Source organism: Homo sapiens, chromosome 11 (assembly GCF_000001405.40).
Source record: "Homo sapiens chromosome 11, GRCh38.p14 Primary Assembly".
Taxonomy (NCBI): domain Eukaryota; kingdom Metazoa; phylum Chordata; class Mammalia; order Primates; family Hominidae; genus Homo; species Homo sapiens.
The window spans coordinates 22,203,428-22,227,627 of NC_000011.10; the positions used below are offsets into that span (position 1 = coordinate 22,203,428).

Sequence of the window (24,200 nt, forward strand, 5' to 3'; positions counted from 1 at the left end):
AGAGAATATGAAATCTCATGTGGTGAGAACTAAAACATATGAATGGACACCCTATTGGGTATTTAACTCTCAGTGGTTTTGTGGTTATAGGTTGATAACCACATTGATCAGAGTTAAGTTTATTTCTCAGTAATTGAGATTGTATTTTACACATCAGTATTTTATGCTTTTCCTGTTATAGGCAGTTTTAGGTAAGACTTCTTTTGGAGTCTGTTTTAAACAATTTAGCTCCGAATCATCTTGTATCTTTTCTTCTAGTATTTTTTCTTTGAATTTTTTAATTCATTCAATTCCTATTTTTTCCTTACACAGACTTTTGAATATGTTCTGATCAGTGGCTAATTTAACATGTTTTTCTCTTTCTTATTTAATTTAGGGGAAAAAGTCAATAAGCATATAGACTACTCTTTCCAAATGAGTGAGGTAAGTTAAATATATATGCATTAACTTCCTTATAAGTCAGAATAAAAAATCAAGATAAGGTTAACTAAGCCTTTGTACTTATTTACTTATAATACATTCTATTATGCCCTCTAATTTATTCATTTTTTAAGTAGCTAAAGCAAGTTCCATGTTCCATGCAGATTTAATATTGGATCTTTTCTAGATGTTATAAGGGAACAAATAGATCTTTGATTTGTTTTGAGGCTCCCTGTGAAATAAACTCAGATATGCTGATCATTGATATGCAAGATACTAGTATTTGGCTTAACATTTTGCTATAATATAATGTTAGTGTAGTCTGTGATAGCTTATTATTTTACAGTTATTAGTATGATTAGTGCTTATCTATGACTATACTGGAGTTCAACCTGAATTGCATAAACACATTAAATAGAATAATAAATAAATTAAATACTACTTGTAAAAATACAGAATTCTTTTAACCAAAGGACTTCTTATATAAATTTTAAGAACCATACAAACAATTTATATTGCTTCTATACTGAATATAAGCATGTTAAAGGCATTTCAATGAAATCATTTTTCTGATAGACTCTAGTTGATAAAGAATCCCATGCATAGCTCTCACAGAGGTAGACGTCCTTGAGTGGTTTCAGGATGTCCTGCCAGATATAAACAGGATTTAAAAAGAATTTCCAGGAATGATTGAAATTTCTGCTTGGAAAACACGTCCTTCTAGAATAGGTTGGCTATTTGCTAGTTGGCTGGATAAGCTCATTAAGATTCCTAGAAGTTACAGGGTTCCTTTAAAAGTTCAGTGACCCACTAGTCAGAATGGCTATTGTTAAAAAAATCAAGAAATAACAGATGCTGGTGAGGCTGTGGAGAAGAAGGAATGCTTATACACTGTTGGTGGGAGTGTACATTAGTTCAGGCATTGTGGAAGATGGTGTGGCAATTCCTCAAAGACCTAAAGATAGAAATACCATTCGACCCAGCAATCCCATTACTGGGTATATGCCCAAAGGAATACAAATCATTCTTTTTTAAAGACCCATGCATGTATATGTTCATTGTAGCACTATTCACAATAGCAAAGACATGGAATCAACCTAAATGCCCATCAATGATAGATTGGATAAAGAAAATGTGATACATATATATCATAAAATACTATGGAGCCATAAAAATGACAAGATCATGTCCTTGGCAGAAACATGGATGGAGTTGGAGGCCCATTACCTTTAGCAAACTAATACAAGAACAGAAAACCAAATACCCCATGTTCTCACTTATAAGTTGGAGATAAATTATCAGAACACACAGATACATAGAGGGAAACATCACACGCTGGGGCCTTTTGGAGGATGGAGGGTGGGAGGAGGGAGAGGATCAGGAAAAACAACTAGTGGGTATTAGGCTTAATACCTGGATGATGAAATAATCTGTACAACAAGCCCACATGACATAAGTTTATGTATGCAACAAACCTGCACTTGTATCTCTGGACTTAAACTAAAAGTTAACAAAGAAAAGTTCAGCGACCTAAATGCTGAGAGAAACAGAATATGAGAACCAGAGGGAACTATGAAGATCATATAGGACAGTGATTTTATAGTGTAGTTTGCAGATCAATATACAAACAAGAATAAGAATTATATGAAGAATTTCTTAAAACTGTAGACTCTTGGGCCCAGGCTGTCTCAAAATAAAATAAAATAAAATAAAATAAAATAAAATAAATAAAAGGAAAGTAGAGCAAAACAACCCCAAAGCAAGTAGAAGAAGGAAATAATAATAAAAGCAATTGAAAACCAGAAAGTATTAGAAAAAATCATTGAAACCAAAAGCTGTGGAAAGATACATAAAATTGACAAACCTTTAGCCAGACTGGCAGAAAGGGAGTTGCGCTGGGACATATGTAACCAATATCGGGAATAAAGCAGGACATATCAATATGGAATTTGTAGATACCAAAAAGATAATAAAGGAATACTACTAACAACTCTACACACATAAATTTGACAACTAAGATGAAACGGACCAATTCTTCAAGAAGCACAAACTACTATAATCCACTCAACGTTAAAACAATAATTTGAATAGCCCTGTAGCTACTAAGTAAACTGAATGTGTAATTTTTAAATTCCCCTGAAAGACCTCTTCAGGCTTAAATGGTCTCATTGGAGAATTCTACCAAATGTTTAAAGAAGAATTAACATTAATTTTATACAATCTCTTCCAGAAAATAGAAGAAAAACAGATGCTTCTCAATTCATGTCGGATCCCTACGTAACTTTGATACCAAAAGAGACAGACAGTTTAAAAAAAAATGAAAACAAAAAACCTAAAAGTTGGATCCCTCATGTACATAGATACAAAAATCCTTAGTAAAATATTAGCAAATAAAATTCAGTAATATAAAAATAATTATGCAACATGGCCAGGTAGGGTTTACTCTATTGATGGAAGGCTCCATTCATTTTTGTGTGCGTGTGGAAAGGGACAGAGTCTTGCTCTGTCACCCAGGCTGGAGTGCAGTGGCACGATCTTGGCTCACTGCAACCTCCACCTCCCAGGTTTAAGTGATTCCCCTTCCTCTCCTGAGTAGCTGGAACTACAGGTGTATGCCATCACACCTGGCTAATATTTATAATTTTAGTAGAGATGGGGGCTTCACCACGTTGGTCAGGCTGGTCTCGAACTCCTGACCTCAAGTGATCCGCCTACCTTGGCCTCCCTAGGTGCTGAGATTACAGGCTTGAGCTACTGTGCCTGGTCTCCATTCATTTTTTGAAAAACAATTGGTATACTTCACCAAAGGCTAAAGAATAAAAATCATGTGATTTTTATCAGAAAAAATATTGTCAAAATTTAACTTCCATTTATTAAAAATAAACACAAACTCTCAGAAAACCAAGAATAGAGAGGAACTATTTTAACCTGATAAGGAGCATCCACACAACACTTACACTAACAGTATATTTAATAATAAAAGACTGAACACTTTCTTCGTAAGATCAGAATGTCCTCACTTACCCTTCTCATTAAATATAGTACTGACAGTTCTTGCAATAAGACAAAAAAATAAAATAAAAGGTATTCAGATCAGAAAGGGACAAATAAAATTCTCCCCATTTCCAGGTGACATGACGATGTACATAGAAAATCCCAAGAAATCTACAAAATTAAAGACAAAAACAAAATTTCCTAGAACTGAGTTTAAGAAGGTTGTAAAAAATAAGAAAATTATATAGAAATTAGTTATATTTCTATATACTGGTAATGAGAATGTGGAAACCCAAATTGGTATATAAGTTAAAATATCTGTATGACATTTCATAGACATAGGCAAGATTATTCAGAAAATTTTATGGAAATACAAAGGAAGTAGAAGAGATAAAATGATTGTGAAAAAAAGAAGAAAGTGGGAGAAAACCCTCTATGTTATTTTAAGACTTGTTCTTTAGCTGCAGTCTAATGAAGACTGTGTGATATTTGGAGAAGGATAGGCATGTAGATTAATGAAACAGAATAGAGATCCCAGAAATAGCCTCACACAAGTACAGCCAAATGATTTTGGACAAATGTGCAAAAGCAGTTCAATGGAACAAACAGGCTGGAGCATTTGTATATTCATAGGCAAACTTATGAACTTAACCTAATTTTATAACTTATACAAAATTAATTCAACATTGATCATGGACTAAATGTAAAATGTAAAACTATACAATTTTTTGAAGAAAAAATGGATCAAACTGTTTGGAAATTAGATCTTGGTGAAGGGTTTGTAGTTATGTCATATCTGCAAACAAAAACATTATTAATGAAAAGCATTGATAAATTGGAGTTTATCAAATGTAAGAATTATTGTTCCCTGAAAGATCCTGTTATGATGATGAACAGACAGGCTACAGACTGGGATAAATATTTGCATATTCTGTATCAGACAAAGTACTTGTATCTATGATTTATAAAGAACCCATAAAATTTAAATATTTTACAAGAAAAAATGCCCAGTTAGAAAGTGGGCAAAATACATATTGAGATCTTTCACTAAAGAGGAAATATGATGGCAAATAAGCATATGAAAAGATCTTCAATATCACCAGCCACTAAGAAATGCAAAATAAGATCAAAGTGAGATGTCAGTATATGCCTATTAGAAGAGCTAAAATATAAAATAGTGACAATACAACTTACTAGTTAGGATGCAGAGAAACTAGATCTCTCACACAATGCTGGGGGAAACATAAAATGATACAGTCACTCTGGAAAACTGTTGGGCAGTTTCTTAAAAATCTAAATTATGATTTTCATGTAAGTTGGGTAATCATACTCTTGGGCATTTATCCAGCAGAAATGTAAACATATATTCATACGCAAAACCTAAACACAGATATTCACAGCAGCTTTATTTGTAGTAGCCGAAAGTGGAAACAACCTAAGTGTCCTACAGCAGGTGAATGGTTAAACAAAGTGTGGCACAGCCTTATCATGTAAAACTACCCATCAGTAAAAAGGAACAAACTATTAATAAACACAACTTGGATAGATCTCCAGGACATTGTGCTAAGTGGAAAAAAATCTTAAAGGAACACATATGTTATGATTCCATTTTTATGACACTTCTGAAATGACAGTATACAGATGGAGAACAAATTAGTGATTTCTAAGGGACATGGATGTTGAGGGGAAGGAAAATGGACATAAATTTAAAAGGGTAGCATGAGGAAGATCCTTGTGGATGGAATAGCTCTATACCTTGACAGGGCTGGCTCTTACCCAATTGTACACACGTGACAAAATGACCTCCAACTATACAGAGACATTGTACTCATGTCAGCTTCCTGATTATGATATTTTACTGTGGTTATGTAAGATGGAAATAACCATTGGAGGAGACTGGGTAGGGGTTACATGGGATCTGTGTGTATTATTTTGGCAAATTCCTGTGAAGCTATAGTTATTGCAAAATAAAAAGTTAAAAAAAGTGAATACAACTTATTTCACTTTCCTCAATGCTAAATTATATTTTTTCTGACACTCAAATGCAATAAAAACAGGCTCTACACATTGCAGTCAATTTTTTTCACCCCATCTATGGGCAGGAGGCAGGCAATTTTCAAAAAAAATAAGTATTATAGCATATTCATTCAACTATTGGATTGAGGCAGAACTAGAATCAATGGATTTTTATCCAGTAACAAATTTATAGATATGATGAATGTTTTTAGGCTTTTACAAGACAGAAGTATAAGAATTGTAGGTTCATTATTTCAAAATTATTTTATGTTTGAAAAGGTCTTCTGTGCTTTCATGATTGCTTAAATATTAAAAAGCTATTCTAGTTTTACCTCTGATTTACAATTAGTATGAGTCCATCATTGGACATTGTTACAGTCTTGTTGGAAATCAGAAAATGCATGTGAATTAAACATGCATGACATGATTAATATATTTATTACATGATCACTAGAAAGTAACAAACATTAATTTTAAAAAGTCAACATTTATGGAGAACTTCCCATGTATTATTTAATCTCACTGTATGGACTTTATGGTTTGGAGAGGTTAACTTGCTCAAGTTTACAAATGTAATCAGTTTTACATATGTATTTAATGGGGTTTATATAATTGAAGAAAAAGGTTATGAGGCAAACTGAAACTATATAAATTGTTTTATTGTTATGTCTCCTATGTTTTGGAGCTGGGATTCTGAACACAGGTAATCTGATTCTAAAGCTCCTTATTCACTGTATAATATTTCTTTAAGAATGCTGTTTTAAGAATTGTGTCTAGAAGTACATCAAGGATTCTCGTTTTGCCTAAGACTATTCTTAGTAAGAAATGAGACAATGACATACTCAGCAAAATGAAGAAGTAATCTAAGTTATTTTATTTTACATTCTGCAAAGTGAAGATATAACCCCATCTTTTGATTGGAAATCAGAGCAAAGATTTTTCCTAAAAGGAGAGATTGTAAAATGACTAGCCTGGTTGCTTTTGAATATATGGTTTTCTTCTATGCTTCTGTAAGCAAAACAACTAACATTTCTCTAGGATAATTGGAAAAACTTATCAGGAGTCAATATAAATGAAACTATAATAAATTTGTTTATTGTCTTAGCAGAAATGTAGCTGCACAGCATATTTTTAGAGGCTACTATTTCAGAATTGAGTGATCAAGATACTCATTCACTTCATTTGCTATCTGTTGTATTTAGACGAGCTAGTGGAATTCATTCAAGGTCCACAAGTAGATATAATCACATATAAGTGGATTCTAATTATAACTGTATTTTAGGCCTGTATTTACTCACAGATTCTCAGTCTTCCCACAACTTTTCCCACCGGTTTCAGTATTACTTTAGTACAATAGATTGCATTATCTTGTAATTTATATTAAATATAGTGGTATGAAAATTGTACATTTTCAAAATTATCTTTCATTCTCTTTTAAAGAACACAGAGAAATTACTGCTTTTGTGGCACATTCTGTTACTTTACTTTTGTAGCATTAGGTATATTTCCAAGGTGCTCTTTGAGTATGTTGTAAATATGTCTGTTACACATTTTATCTGCTATTTTGAAAACTGATTTGCCCAGCATTATTTGGGCATAATGAGATACTGATTGTGATTTTTCCAAGAACAAGGTAAGTGAATTACAATCTGGACATGAATTTCCGATCATTTCTGTTGGTTGATGTCTCTCCATAGTATTATATTGTACCTGTCACTAGAGACTGCTGAGAAGTCATTGGGTGTTATCTCAGGTCTGTGTCCTGTGGTGTGTGGACCATCGTGTAACCTAAGGAATTGGGAATCCACCATATACAGAGGGAGGCATCCCTATTGTGTTAATTATAAGTGGTTTGTGTGTATTTTTATACATGTATGGCTTTTTTTGAAGAGGTTATAAATTCAAATTATTAAGAATCCTGATGGTGTATTTTCCAAGGTATTCCCTTTAATGATTTCAAACAAATGTTGAAGGGCGTAAAATAGCCAATTAATTCTGCCTTTCCTGTTGGTCCTCTTCAGGATGCAGCATCATAAAAAGATTAGACCTCCTTGTTATTTCTCAGTAATGTAGTAGTTCTTAACCACTTCTTGTATCTGATTTCTTTTATGATTTGATAAAGCTACCTCCCAAATACTAATTCTCTCTGAAGCTCACTCTCTTTCCTCACTGCACAGACAAACACACCCTGCCCCACAGGCACATTTACAGATACATAGCACACATACATGAACACACATGCACATGCATACACATATATGCCCACAGTTTTGCATATGATTTAATGTGGTTCCAGATTAAGTGTTTCTGCATAGAGATTACAGAGTTGTTACTGAAACTTAAAAGCACCCTTTGCTCCACCTGCACTATTAATAATAGCATTATATCTTCCCCTGGTACTGTTAGCAGAGCCTGAGCAGCAGAGAGACCAGCTTTCTCATCAATGAAGAAACAATGGTAAGCAGCGACCAGTACTATCCTTTCTTGCATGGACACAAATGGGGCATCTTTTTGTAGTCTGCAATGATGATACTCTTTTCCAGTTCAGTTATTTGACATGCTCTCATACATGGTATTTGAGAATATATTACTTTAGAAAAAAAAAATCAGTTTCTTTAGGTGGGGGGAAAACACATCAGACATATCAGTGAGAATGACGCACTGAGTATAACACTTTGCTTGGATTTTATTTTTTCTATGAGAAAATGAAGGGTCTAAGAGGTGTAATGACTTGACCAAAGTTATTGATATGTTTAAGGGGTTGATGCTTGACTACACTCAAGTTTCTGAGGCTTACTTAGTTCAGTATTCTTTCTCCACTGCATCACTCTTCTTGTCTTTAAGTACATGCCTGAGGATAATCATGAAAAAGTACAATTCATTTAAAAATCAAACTTAAATATCAATTAAAAGGTTGGTAAGGGGACCTGAAACTTTTCATTAGTTGCCTAGCAAGTAAAAAATGCCTTTTGGGAAGATGGGGAAATAGAGTTATATTCCTATACTGATAATTTTAGCAAGGATGATAGTTTGCTTTTCACTAGAGTACTAATCTTTAGTGTTTTGGAATGAGGATTGTGATATTGATCAAATTAAAACAATTGAAATGTTTTGTTTTCTTTTTAAATTTATTTTTACTTTTTTTTTTTTACTACATAAAGCATTTTACATGATTCCAAAGTTGAAATCCACAGATCAAATAACATTTAGATGAGCCTAAAGCTTATACAATTTTGATATCACTCTTTAAGAAACATATGGAAAAATATTTTCCTTTAAAACATTTACGAAAATATTTTACCACGAGAACACATTGCTGGAGTCCTTCCTAAACCCTTGGAAGGGGTAGATGCAAGTAAGATGCCCTGAAGATTAGACTTTATTAGCTTGAAGGTAAATCTGTCTTAGCTTGAAGGTAAATCTGTCTTAGGTTGAAAATATGAAACAAAGTGTTTTCAGAGAAATCTTTCTTCTTTGTCCTCTCAGTCTTTTTGTATAATAGTTAGCATTTTTGTTTGGTTTATTTTTCCAATGCTATTACAAATGTTGCTAAAATGAATACCCTTGGGAATTAGTCTTATAATATTTTGGTCATTTTATTTTTCTGCATGGAATTCATTTATCAGAGAATAAAGGTATATATAGTAATTTGTAATTTTCCCATATATTGCCAAATTCCCCTGCCTTTTGTGTTTGTAACAAACCTGTGAAAGTGGCTGTTTCCCCACAACCCTATCAGCAGTGTGTTGTTATGCTTTTAGATTCTTGCCTGTCTCATGGTACTGAGATAGATAATGGCTATTGGGAGGTATTTCACTTGGCACAGTATCTTAGTATCATTTAAAATTGCATTTCTCACAACATGTGTGAGATATTCATCTTTTTCTACATTGAGTGGTCATTTAAATTTATTTTGCTATGTCACTCTGTTCATATATCTTGTCCATTTCCTGTCAGGTTTTGTTTTTTTTTTTACTCTTGATTTTTTTGGAGCTCTTTATATATATTTATTGTTATCTCCTTGCCTGTACAGAAGTTGCAGATACTTTCCTCAAATATGTTAAATACATATAATTTAATTTTTAAATTCTAAGTGACTTTAAAATGATGTATGATATTTGATTCACTATGTTGACATTGTCTTTGATTAAACAGTAAGTTGTTAAACAGTAGACTTCTTTTTAAAAATATACTTTATTTTAATATAGTTTTAGATTTTATTATAAATCTATTTATTATAAATAAAATCTAAACAGAGTTTCTTATACCCCACACTGATTTTCTCCTATTATTAGAATCTTACATTAGTATGGTACATTTGTAACAATTAATGAACCTATATTGGTGCATTATTATCAAATAAAGTTCATGCTTTATCCAGATTTCCTTAGTTTTCCCCTAAGATCCTTTTCCTATTCCAATATCTCATTGAGGATGCAGCATTGCACTTAGTAGTCATGTCTCCTCAGGCTCCTCTTGGTTGGGACAGTTTCATGTACTTCTTTTGATTTTTATATCCTTCACAGCTTTGAGGAGTACTGGTCAGGTATTTTGTAGAATGTCCTTAAATTGGGACTTTCCTGATTTTTTTTTTTATGATTAGACTTGGATTATATGTTTTTGGAGGAAGATAATAGAAGTGTCGTTATCTTCATGTCATATCAAGGGTATATTCTATCAACATGACTTAATCACCCTTAATGTTTTAACCTTGATTACCTGGCTTGAAGTAATGTTTAGCAGATTTATTCACTGTAAAGTTACTCTTTTTTTTTTCTCCCTTTCCATACTGCAATCTTCAGATGAAAGTCACTATTTGCAGCCTACACAAAAGGATTGGGATTATGCTCTCCCTCCTTATAGGTGAATCCATTATTTGGAATTGTTTTGTGTGTCGGGGAGATCTTTCTTCCTTTCTTTTTGTCAGTGTGTACTTATGGATATTTATTTTATACTTTATGTTATAAACCAAATACTACTTTATTTTCTTGCTCAAATTGTTCTAGCTTTGGCTATTGGAAGTGGTGTTTTGTTTTTTGTTTTGTTTTGTTTTGTTTTGTTTTGGGACAGCATCTTGCTCTGTTGCCCAGGCTGGAGTCCAGTGGCATGATCATAGTTCACTGCAGCCTTAGATTCCTTGGCCCAAGTAATCCTCTCACCTTGGCCTCCCTGAGATTACAGGAGTACACCACCACATCCAGCTAATTATTATCATTATTATTATTATTTTGGAAATTGGGTCTCACTGTGTTGGTCAGGCTGCTCTCAAATTTCTGGGCTCAAGCAGTCCTCCCTTCTCAGCTTCCTGAGTGGTTGGAATTACAAGACATAAGCCACATCACTTGGCTGGAAGCTTTTCAGTTGACTCCTGTGTTTCCTTGGTATACCCCTATTATTGTGTTTAGTTTTGTTTTGAGTATTTTCCTTCTTTCTGACTAGATGCTCCAAATTCATTTTGTACATTTCCTGCCTCAGTCCTAGAATCAACTGTGTACCCAGGGAAGTTTGGTTTTTTTTAAATATATCATAGAAATATCACAAAAGAAAAATCTGTATAAATTAGGGTCCTGTTAGGCCTACTCAGTGTAGGATAATTTGAGAAGGACTTCTTAAAAAGACTTTTTACAAAGATGGGGTGTAAGGGAATCTCAGCATATATAGGTGTAGTAATCTTGAATTTATTAAAATCCATAGAACTGAAGGGAATAGGGTAAGGAGAACTTACTGGAACCCAGAAGGAAGAACTCATATACTATAGACATTATCAAGAGGCTCAATGATCTTTGGTGAGGGGACACAATCTTCCTGAATTCAACCTTAGGAAGGAAAACACTATCTATTCTTTCCAATCATTCGTGAGAAGCAAGAGGTCAAGGGAGCTCTTTGGTTACCTGCACAGGACAAAAAGCAGGGTAGAGAGGAGTGGAGAGGGAATGTGCTGGGATAATCCAACGTAATATCACTGGATATGTTTTTGGGTAAAAAAATGGAGTCTTGCGGTTCCTACTGTGATTATTATGACAGAAACTCTATATCAATTATTTTATAAATATTTAATAATGCAATTTAAAATTCTATTTGAAACAAAATAGTGAAAAGTGAATGAGTACCTAAATGATTACAGAGATTGTCAGTATAGAAATGTCACTAAAGCCACTAAATGAAATACAGAAAGATGGAAACTATTATGCTTAAGAGAACCTATCTTAGAGTGACTACTGTAGGGGATTGGACAGAATAGTTTGGTAAGTATTTAGAGTTTAGTAAGCAAAGAATGGGAATTGAAAAGACACACTAAAGGTTGCTTAAATAACGACAGATATGCAATTAACAGATTTTGAAGGAGTATGGGCCTTGATCACCTCAAGGATGATATTCCAAATATTTAATAACTGATATGGCACAGGCACAAACCAATCAGAAGGAGTCTTTGAGTAAAATGACAAGAAGCAATTAGTGTCATATTAGCACAGTATTTATAATTGATCTGTGCATGTATTTAGATATTATCACCTTATGATTCAGTCATTAATTCAGTCTCCTAGTGATTTCATCCAGTTTCATGGCTTTAAATACAATTGATATGCCATCTCAATTCTCAAATTTGAGTTTCAAGTGTAGTCCTTTCTCCTCAACTTCACTTTTAAATATCCAAATGCTTTCTCAGCATATGCATATGGATGTCTAAAAGCTATCTCAAGATTAATATGTCCAAAATGTAATTCTTTATCTTCCCCTGCAAAAAAACTGCTTGTCTGAAGTCTTTCGCATCTCAACAACATGCATTATATTCTTTTCGTTGCTCACATCAGAAATTTATGAAAAAAGTTTTCATCTTCATTGGTTCTACATTAAATACAATAAAATGCACCCATTTTAAGTGTGTAGTTTGATGAGTTTTAACAAACTATAATTTATGTAGAAAATTTCCATTACCTCAAAAATTTCCCTTTAGCGGTTTTCCTCCTACCATATTCTAGCAACCGCTGATTTGTTTTTCTTTCTAATGTAATATATAAATGGAATTTTACAGTATACACTATTTTGTATATGGCTTCTTGCTGCTTTTGCTCGTCACAATGTTTCTAAGACTCATGCAAAACTCCAAATATTACTAATAAATTCATTCTTTCTGAATATATCTGTACTAGAGATATTATTGTTTATTTTATTGCTCAGTAATATTTCATTGTATGGATATACTGAAATTTATTTGTCCACTCATCCATTGATGGATATTTGGATAGTTTTCAGTTTCAAGACCATTATGAATAAGGCTATTATGAACATTCATGTAAGAAGTGTTTTTAGAGATGTATGTTTTCATTAATCTTGGGTAATTTCCTAGGAGTAGAATTTCTGGGTCATGTGGAAAATATAGGTGTAACTTTATGTAAAACTGTCACACTATTTTTAAAAGTGGTTGTACCATTTTTTATTCCTGCCAGCAATGTACGAGAGTTCTTTTTGCTGTACATCTTCACCAACATTTGATATTGATATTGATATTGATAGCTTTTTAATTTCAGTAATTCTAGTGGATAGGTAGTAGTATCTTGTGATTTCAATTCTCATTTCTTTTTTAAATAATGATGTTGCCCATCTTTTCATGGGCATATTGGACTTTCATAGATACTCTTTTATGAACTGTTCAAATCTTTTCTGCATTTTAAAAAAATGAGTTGATTATCTTTGTATTGACTTGTAAGAGTTGTTTATGTATTCTGGATGCGAGACCATTGTCAACCTTACTTATTGTGAACATTTTCTTCCAGTTTGTTGCTTGCCTTTTCGTTTACATAGTGTTTTTAGAAAAGCACATTTAGAAGTATATAAATTCAATTTCTCATATTTTATCTTTTATCATCCATTCTTTTTATGTTCTATTTAAGAAATATTTGCCTACACCAAAGTAGGGGAGATTTTCTAAGATTTTCTTCAGTTTTATAGTTTTAGTTTTTATGTTTAGGTCTGTGATCCATGGAAGTCATAATGTGGCCCTGCATGGTCCTTTAGTGTGGGAGTCTTTCATTTTTCTTAACAATTCTTTAATGAATTTAGGGAAAACATCTGAGAAAAATAGTAACCTGTGAATCTCATGAAAGATACCAAGAAAATAAAAACACTGAGATGAAAAATTTCAGGCCATCAGAATAATATAGGTTAAAATATATTTTATGTAATGACCAACATTTGTCTTGTATCTTTTGTATTTTAAAACAACAGCAATACTAACTCCTCTGTCTATATATAGAAGACATTAGTTTACAGGGCAGGAATTTTCCCTCCAATAGTCACCAGTTGCTTAGACTTCTTCAGCCTATTCCAGGAAGAGACTAGTTTAAGTAATTGTATTGGATTATTTATCCATGCATTACACTATAAAATACACTCAATTCTTGCTCATTTATGCTATAGGTTTGGTTTTCTTTCAAATATAGTTGAGTATCCCAGATATTTTTAGGTAATTGACCCTGTATTTTAAATAATGACCATGTAATTGAAGATTGGAGATAACTGAGCATTTGAATAACTGAATGACTTTTTATGTATTCTATTATATTGCATGCTCATTAAATTAAAAAAAAAACCTGGGTAAACTTTCCATACTACACATCATATCAGTATAAATGTGGTAATTTTAATTTCTTTTCCTGATATATACAGGCATACTTAACAAAATATCTATTTTACTTTATATTTTTATTATTTTCATGTTTTCCTTTATTATTATTATTTTTCTCTTCTCTTCCTTAATTACATCCTTTGCAGGGACATGGATGTAGCTGGAGGCCATTATCCTTAGCAAACTAACACAAAAACAGAAAACCAAATACTGCATGTTCTCACTGATAAGTGGGAGATAAATGATGAGAACACATGGACTCATAGAAGGAAATAACAAATGGGATCTTTTGGAGGGTGGAGGATGGGAGGAGGGAGAGAAGCAGGAAAAATAACGACTGGGTACTATGCTTAATAACTGGGTGATGAAATAATCTGTACAACCAATCCCCATGACACATATTTCCTTATGTAACAAATCTGCACTTCCTGCACATGTACTCCTGAACTTAAAAAAAAGTAGAAATAAATAAAATAAAATATAAATCCACAAATATTTATTATTTTTAGTCACTATTTAAAGAATTTAGGAAAATTTACTTGAGTCTCCTTATTTTCTTTACCTGTTTATTGCTTTCTTCCCATTTTTCTTCTTTTTTTCCTTGCTAATTTGTATCCTCCAGTTTGAAATATCACACACACACACACACACACACACTTATAAAATGATCATACCAAGGGTTAGTTTGTCTTTGTCTTTTTTTTGGAATCTTTACTGTAATTCTGGGCAGGAAGTGCTAATTCTTTATTGGTTGCTTCACAGCCTGCAAAGCGATTCAATTTGTTCCTGAGGCGGCGGCTTATGGTAAAACCAGTGCTGAATGATGCTGCTTATGCTCTGAATGGCTGCAGTGGTAGCCTTAGTTATTTTTCTTCTAATGAATACTTTGATTTGGGGGAACATTGTCACTAATTCCTAGTCCCCAGGCAACTGAAGTTTAAGAATAGTGATTCTTAATTTGTTCTGGATTTGGATTAAATCTATAGATCCTCTTCCTAAAATGTATGCACATTCTCACACATACACGTAATTCATACAGTTTCAGTGGTTTATGAACTCTCATCAGGAATGCAGGGTTTTATTTTGTTTTGTTTTCACACAGAGTCTTACTCTGTCGCCCAGGCTGGAGTGCAGTGGTGCAATTACAGCTCACTGCAGCCTCAACCTCCCTGGATCAGGTAATCCTCCCACCTCAGCCTTCTGAGTAACTGGGACCACAGGGGCACACCACCATGCTCAGCTAATTTTTGTATTTTTAGGAGAGATGAGTGGTTTCACCATGTTGTCCAGGCTGGTCTTGAACTCCTGAGCTCAAGCAATCATCTCTCCTCGGACTCTCAAAGTGCTGGGATTACAGGCATAAACCACCACACCCAGCTGGTAATTCAGGTGTTTGAACCACAGAATAAGTACATCCTTTACAGAGAAGCCACTCAGATGTTTACATAATTACAAATAGATATTCTAAGGACAAATCAAATATAAACATAAACAAATGCACACACATGCTACAAAATATATTTATATTATGTTTTGAGCAAAACAAAAGCATGATGTATGTTAGTAACATTCAGTTATATGTGACAGAATTATCAGATTTTTCTGCCTCAACCTTAACTGATTTTTATTAGTAGTCCTGAGACATGTCTCTCATGCTGACTTACAAGGCTCCCAGTGATTTTTTTCCCATATTTAAAACAGATTTACAGTGTATCATCAGGGTGTGATATAATGATAGAAATTTGTGTTTTCCTAGCTAGCCTTTGGCTTTCAGAAGGACAGTATGTATACCTATTTTTGACTGAGCACTCCGGAAAATCACTGGAATTACTATTCTCTTAGCTACTTTGTCTGTTTTCTTGCTGTCGAATACTCTGAATATGAGTTTTGTTAATTCATACGTGCACATGTTCTGTTACCAGAACTGTTCTTTGTGTACCCAGATTTAGCTTATGTAAACAATACAAGTACCTGTAAATATATTAGTTTTTGAAAACAAAGCAAAAAACAACAAAAAACCCCTCTATCATACAAAATATGACTGTCACAGACTTAGAGAAAGAGGACTATTTTTTTCTTTTAATTTTTGAGCTTTGATTTTATTTAGTCTAAGTAGTATATTATTTCTGCCTCAGTTGCCTTCCAAGAATTTTGGTGAATTTCATAAGATGCTAACGCTGTGATGATTTATAAGAGTGCCAATGATTTGTTTGGGTTTTTTCTTTCTTTTCAAGTTTTAGTGATTTATAATCAAAGTATAGTGTGATAGCAGTTTGATTTTTCTCAGGTTCTTTTACTTTCTTTTAGGAAATAGGAGATGATTATGCATCCTTTGGCTGAGGTGAAGAGAACTCAGACATAACATTTGAGTTACTGTATCTTGGCACTTAATCTCTAGGTTCCCTAGATTTTTTTTTTTTTTTTTAATTCTTAGTTCCCTTTTCCACACATTTCTTCCTGTGCATTGGGAGCTAGTTTTTTTTCTGAGACACATCAGCTTTGCATCAGCTATGTAAATGCACTTACTTTGTTCATAGACCACAGATCAAACATGAGACTTATGGCTTATTTGCATATAACTGATCCTCATCCATTCCCTTTTCTGGGAGGCCTGTCTCACCTGACTTGGGTAAAAAAATCCCATAGGGTACAATAAAGGAAACTCATGAATTAATAGAAACACTAGTTGTGAAAATTAAAACCATATAGTTACTCATTCGCAGGTGAGCTAAAGCAATTGGAAAACTATCTAATTGACAGCCACTGTATTATCTATTTGCATAATTCTAAGTGTAATAATACATGTAGGCTAGCAGGAATATTAAGTATTAGATATAAACTTTAAATAAAACCAAATCAGTCAAACATGAAATCTCTTTCTTCTGAAGCTCTCTCATGTTTTTGCTGTTTTTAAAGTGAAGGAACTAATGAACTAACTACACAACACGTGAAAGTTGAACTTGTTAAGTGTAATTATTATACTGAGATAATTCATGCAAATTTAAAAAAGGATTGATTTTTGCTCACCTGGGAAATTGATGTTGAAGGGCGAGTTGCATGAAACCTAACTTGTGATGCCAGCTAATAAGCTACCTGCTTTATAATATTTAACTGCACCTTGATTTTATTTTAATCCTTACAAAGTTGAATTAGGAAGTGACAATTTTATAAAAACATAGAATAAACATTAATCATAAGTTTATTTTCTTATAGTGAGACTCCATTAATTGGTCTGTAATTAATTATACCCCCAAAGTTGTGTGTAGCCATGAATTATTTAGTGGACTAAGTGATATCTTGTTTGATGAAGGGAACAAGTCAGTCTCTGAATGTGCATTTTGAGATCAATTTATACATATATTCATTTCATATTTTGGTATGTTTGCAGCATTTTTGTTGTATGTGCATGTAGTTAACATGCTTATCTTCCTCCTGAGTCATTATTGCTTAATCTTTTATATGGAATTTCACTTTATAAAACAAAGCATAATCTGTTGCTGAAAACTCTGGTTATTTGTCTTGATTTGACTAAATTATAAATAATTCCTTTTGTGCTTTTGCCATTTCAGAATAAAACTATAATTTACAATTGTGTCATTTATGTCTCCTGCAGTTTCAAAAAAATCAGCAAAGCAAAGATTCTATCTTCTTCCGAGATGGGATTAGGCAAATTGATTTTGTGCTTTCCTACGTTGATGATGTAAAGAAAGACGCAGAGTTAAAGGCGGTAAGTGCATTATAACAGAAGTGGGAATAATAAAAAGAAGCACATTTTATAATTTCACATGGATATCTGGATTGAATTATGTTGTAAAAGTGAGAGGCCCTGAAGTGTTACTGAAAACTGAAACTGAATGAGATAACTGTAAAGTAGGCAGCCTAAGAATAGACATGTAAAGTCAATGTTATCTTTTTGGATATTTTGCATACTAACTTATTTTTCTTCTTCTTCCAAGTAACTGATTCTTTTTATAGCTCACTTTAGATATTAAATGTAACATCCAAAATTTGAGGTATGTGTCTGAATATAATAATTACCTTTTGTATGATATTTTCATTTTGGAAATGTATGACTAATCCATTGCTCCAGGTATAGCTTTTATATTGTACTCTATTCCTGATTCTATTTTATTTGTATTACACATCACTTTATGAGCTTATTTATTCATGTTTTTACTTGTTTGCTGTCTCCAACACTATAAATTAAGTTTATGAGGCCAAGCACTTTGTCTTGTTCACCGTTATGTACCCAAATCCTAGAACAATGGTTGGACTATAATGGATACTCAATAAATACTCAATATTTGAAATCATAAATTAATCCATTTTTATACACATATATGTGTGTGTGCATACACACACATTTACTTATGTACTTACAACATAAATGTCATATAAAATAAAAATAAAAAATGAAGATATTATTCCCACAAGACTCCATACATATACAGGTCTGTCCCTTTTTTCCACCCACTGCCTGGAAAGCCTTCTACCAGGCCTCTGAAATTCATGACCCATCATCATTTTCATCTCTTCTCCGAACATTCCCTTCAAACCTCTTTGAGGTTTTTTGCTTTCCGTAGCAGTCCTCTCAAGTGATGTTTACTTTTCTTTATACAACATTTCCCTAGAGATGGGGTAAATGCTGCTTGCCTTCCTTGTATCTTGTTGATTATACTGTGTTCTCCTTCACTTGTCCCTGAAATTCCTGAGATTTAAATCTCATCAGATTTATTATTATCCTGCATTGTTTTTGTCATTTATCTTTCTCTGCATCTTCTATTCCTCAACAATTTTACCTCCTGGATCACTGTCCGTCTTTCCAGCAATCTTTTAAAATCATTGATAATATCAATTCATACTTAGATGATTATTTTGACACTCTGGCCTCTCTGTTCCTTGAACTCCCTTTTCCAATAATCTTAGCTTCTACTCAGCCATTCACTCACCTAGAACTTGTCACTACTAATAACTGCAACTCTTTATAATTTCGTTTTACATGTACAACTGTCTGATTATACCTCAAATCTTTCTGATCCACATTCTTCCTCTTTCAACCTCACCAGGACCAGATAAGATGCAATCGTCTTACTGCTTTTTGCTGCTCTTATTCCCCTCTCACTCTTTATTCAGCTTATGTCTCGTGGTCAACAATTTTAATTACTCTGTTACATATCCCGCCAAGTCCCTTGCCCCTCTCCCAGTTGTACTTGACAAAATAACAACTTTAGTTAAACCCAACCCTACCTACTAAATGCCAGCACACATGCAGAAAGGAAAACTTACAATTTACTGACTGACTTTACCTTGTATTTGTGCCCATGGACCTTAACTGGGTCCTTATGCTGTGTGGCAATCATACTTTCCTTCCATATTCTGTTTTCTCCCACTTTCTTAGATGACTGTTTTATAATGCTTTTTCTTTCCTCACACCTCCAACACCTCCTCCTGTCTTCAAGCTTAGCTGATCATATTTTTCTGTTTCATTGAGAAAACTGAAGCAAGAAGAGAAAACCTATAAATTTCTACCATCACATCTGTCCATCCACCAGGAGTTTTGCCTGTGTAAGCTATCTTACTTTCTGTTACCATAGACAAACTATTTATCCTTCTACCTAAAGCCAACTGCTCCACTTGTGCCCTGCATTCTCTTTCTTCTTGCCTACTATTCAGGAGTGCCAAAGACAACCCTCAGGTTTAGGGGTTCATTAGAAGGAATCACAGGACTCAGTATATAGTCATGCTTATGGAGACGTTTTATTACAGTGAAATGATAAAAAGCAAAACGAGCAAGGGAAAAAGCTTATGGGACAAAGTCTGGAGGAAACCAGGAGTAAGCTTGTGAGAATTCCCTCTCAGTAGAATCACAGGATATACACTTACTTTTTCCAGCAACAATGTATGAAAACACATGTGAAATATCTATTGGGCAAGCCCATTAGAGTGCCCTAGGTTTTTATTAGGGGCTGGTTACCTTGTCACCTTCTGCCTAGCACATACCAAAATTTCATACTCCCAGAAGGAAAGCAGATATTCAGCATAAATAACACTGTTTGTAAAAACAGTATAGGCAAAATGAGCCACTCTTATCAGTTCTGGGAGTGGAGGGAACTCTTCAGAAAAGCAAGTCCCAGACACTAGGACCAACCTTTCTAAAGTTGCAGGCAGGCCTTTCTAAGGATAGCAATTTAATCCCTGCTTTATTAACTCTTTTCTGTATACCTATTTTGGGATATTGCTCTGAAAATTAGTTCCTCTTTCTCCTAAATTATATTTGATATTCTTTACTGGGCCATTTTCTTCCATGAATAACTAGGCTGTTAATTTTTCTATATTAAAAAGGTATGAATAAAAACCCTCTTTTTGTTCCAGTTTTCCTATTAGCTACTATTTCTCTATTTTTTTTCTTTTCAATTATATATTAAACCTATTCCTTTCAAGCCTTTATCCCAACCACTCTGCCCATCTCCTTGTATAAAATCCAATGGTCAAGCCTCAGCCCTCATCTTACTTGACCTATTAGCAATATTTAACACAGTTGATCCTTCCCTTTTCTATTGTGTATGTTCTTCATGTGGCTTCCAGGACTCCACATTATCTTAGTTTTTTTCTTATTTCACTAGTTGCTCCTTCTCAGTCTTTACTTCTCCTAAATCACTTATTATTAAAGTACCTCAGGGCACAGTCCTTAATCCTCACCTTTCCTTATCTTACACTGATGTATTTGATGATTCTGTCTTACAGTTTTAAAATCATATATTTTATGATTTTATATACATTAATCATACAATCCCAGAATTCATTTTTCCAGTCCACATTTCTCTTCCAACTGTGCATAACTAAATGACTGTTCTGTATCTCATACCTTCAATAAGGTACTGGCATAACAACAGACACACAGGCCAATGAAATAGAATAGAGAATCCAGATTTAAATCTATGAATTTAAAACAAGTTCATCTTTGACAAAGGGGCCAAGTGCATACAATGGAGAAAAGATAGGCTTTTCAATAAATGATGCTGATGAAACTGGATAACTATATGTGGAAGAATGATACCAGATCCATAGTTCTTACCATACAAAAGATCAAATCAAAGTGGCTTAAAGCTTTGACTCTAAGACCTGAAACTATGAAACTACCAGAAGAAAACACTAAGGAAATGCTCCAGGACATTGGTGCAGACAGACTTCTTGTGTAAGACCAGGCAATTAAAGGAAAAATAGACCACTGGGATTAAATCAAGCCAAAAAGCTTCTGCACAGCAAAGGAAAAGTGCCCATTGTTGGATGAATAGATAAAGAAAACGTGGCAAATACATAAAATGGAATATTTTTCAGCCATTGAAAAAATGAAATACTATCATTTGCAGCCATCGATGGAACTGGAAGCCATTATGTTAAGTGAAATAAACCAAGCACAAAAAGACAAATGTCATATGTTCTCACTCATGTGCAGGAGGTAAAAATGTGGATCTCATGAAGATAGAGTAGATTGGTGGCTACCAGAAGCCAGGAAAGGGAAGGGGAAGGAGGGAGATAAAGGGGGAAAAACAATATAATGCATTTATTACTACTGAACTATACACTTAAAAATGGTAAAGATGGTAAGTTATATATGTATATTTTAACTCAATAAAAATGTTTTAAAAAGAAAAAATGCTTTTTTTTGTCATCAATACATTGCTTTAATAAAAGCTGGGTGGGTGGTTCACACCTATAATCCCAGTGCTTTGGCAGGCTAAGGCGGGAGGATGAGTTGAGGCCAGGAGTTCAAGGCCAGCCTGGGCAGATAATGAGACACAGTCTCTATGAAAAAATTTTTTAAAAATTATCCGAGTGTGGAGACACCTTCTTGTAGTCCCAGCTACTCAGGAGGCTAGGGAGGATCACTTGAGCCCAGGAGTGTGATGCTATAATGGGCTGTGATCACAACACTGTACTCCAGCCCGGGTGACAGAGTGAGACCCTGTCACTACAAAACGAACAAACAAACAAATGAAGAACTAAGCACCCAAGTGGTTATTTTCAGTAATGACCTATAGTTAAATGTAAGTTTACTTTTTGCTAAGTGAAGCCATTTTGTCCTTCAGGATTAAAAAGTCTTGATGACATACTGGCTTAAAATTCCATTAAATGTATAGTTTATTTGAAGAGTATTGATCTTTGTAATAGTGAATCTTTTCAACTTGGAGCATATGTCTCTCTGTTTATAAAGTTTTTTTATAATTTATGTTATTCAGTAAAGTTTTGTACATTTCTTCAGATAGAGGCTCTGCATATTTCCTGGTGATTATTCCTGGATATACTGCATTTTTGTAGTTGTGAATTATAGTACAAGAGAAAAGCAGTACCTGACATTCAGATGGAGCATTTTTATATACAACCATGGGAGGGGCAGAGAGCCATCCAGAGTCACAGCCATTGTATATTGAATCTGTCAATACTGAGCAAATAAAACAAAAGCATTCTGCATAATTCTGTTGATTTTTTTTTGTCATAGGAAAGAAGAAAAGAGTTTGAAACTAATCTCAGAAAAACAGGTCTTGAGTTGGAAATAGAAGACAAAAGGGTAAATGTAGTTGATAATTTATACAAGCCTCTTTAATTTAAGTGTTGTTTTCTCCTACTCTGGCCTTTGCCTGGATAGACTCTGTGTTTGGGGGCAATACAATAGCTCTTTTGGCTACAGATATGTGCACCGGGATGATAGGGCCTGTGGTCTTACAGGTAAGTAGATGAGTACTGTGAATATGCAGTAATAAATGGAACACTTTATAAATTGACACAGTTTGCATTCAGGATACAAAGAGAAAGAAGATGTGGACTTTTTATCATAACAGTTTCATTTTGAAGTCTGCCTATAATCTGGTACCCTAAATAATTAACCAGGCTGTCTTGCAGCATAACCTGCTGTTTAAGCCAAGACATTCTTTCTGTTCATGAATCTACCAAATTTTCTTTTTAAAGTCATTTTATTTACTGTTTTTCTAGAATTTCCTTCAAAATTGTTTTTAAAGGCCTATTTAATATCTTACCCTATCTATTCCAGCCTGGGCAACATAGCAAGATCCTGTCTCTACAAAAAATAAAAAATAAAAAATTAGTTGGGCATGGTGCCTGTAGTCCAGCTACCTGAGAGGCCAAAGCAGGAGGATTGCTGGAGCCCAGGAGTTTCATGGTTGTGCTGCTGCACTCCAGCCTTGCCAACAGAGTGACGCTCTGTCTTAAAGAAAAAGAAAAGAAAAACAGAAGCATTACTCTCTAGTTCTCCCATTTTCAGTGAACTAATAAATTATTATACCACACAATCCATAATTTCTCCTATGCCATGAACCTTTGTTACCTAAAGTTCTTCCTCATTGTGTAGGCTAAACAAAGAAGCTGGGTAAGAAGAGTGAGTACGTTTTACAGTTTATATGTATCACTTATATAACGTAAGTAAAATTTTGAGCTTATAGCTAGTTACTAAAAACTTAAGAAATTGCCCAGAACCGCATAGGTTATTGTGGATTTAGAGATGAGTATACATTGACCATGAAATATATGTTTAAAAATAGTCTTTCTCTGCATGTGTCTTTGTATGTCTCTCTTTCTGTCTTTCACATATATACACACATTATATGTATACATATATACATGTTTTTGTAACTATATGTTTTGTGAATTTTGTTTTCTCAAAGTTTTGCCTGAAAATTTCAAAATATTGAAAATGCTTTGATGTGTTTGAGATTTTATAAAATATTATCCATCTTATTTAATCAGCTCAATAACAAACTGATCAGTAAGCTTTCTGCTGTTTTGCCTTTTTTTTAATGCAGGACTCGGAAGATGGAAGAACTTATTTTGTCAAGATCCATGCCCCTTGGGAGGTATTAGTTACCTATGCTGAAGTCTTGGGAATCAAAATGCCTATTAAGGAGAGTGATATTCCCCGCCCTAAGCACACTCCTATAAGCTATGTGCTTGGACCTGTAAGACTCCCACTGAGTGTGAAGTATCCCCATCCTGAATATTTTACTGCACAATTCAGCAGACATCGGCAGGAGCTCTTCCTCATCGAAGATCAGGCAACCTTCTTTCCATCCTCATCAAGAAACAGAATTGTAGGTAGAGAAGACCTTTGGGCACATCCCTTCAAATACGA

At 33.8% G+C, this 24,200-nt stretch overlaps 1 protein-coding gene across 15 annotated transcripts in view; it reads left to right on the forward strand.

Annotated features, from left to right (window-relative positions):
- The window catches only part of ANO5 (anoctamin 5), a 90,885-nt gene that overhangs the window by 10,955 nt on the left and 55,730 nt on the right, over positions 1-24,200 (forward strand). For 4 of the 15 annotated variants that reach the window (NM_001441297.1, NM_001410963.1, NM_001441300.1 and 1 more), the window contains exons 2-6: positions 377-423; positions 7,837-7,887; positions 17,670-17,783; positions 22,557-22,625; positions 23,875-24,159. In NM_001441297.1, the coding sequence (NP_001428226.1) occupies positions 415-423; positions 7,837-7,887; positions 17,670-17,783; positions 22,557-22,625; positions 23,875-24,159 (528 nt within the window). In that variant the 5' untranslated portion in view covers positions 377-414. Of the gene's footprint in view, positions 1-376; positions 424-7,836; positions 7,888-14,818; positions 14,861-17,669; positions 17,784-22,556; positions 22,626-23,874; positions 24,160-24,200 lie in introns of all 15 variants that reach the window. The other 11 variants (XM_005252822.5, NM_001441294.1, NM_213599.3 and 8 more) reach the window with 4 other exon arrangements.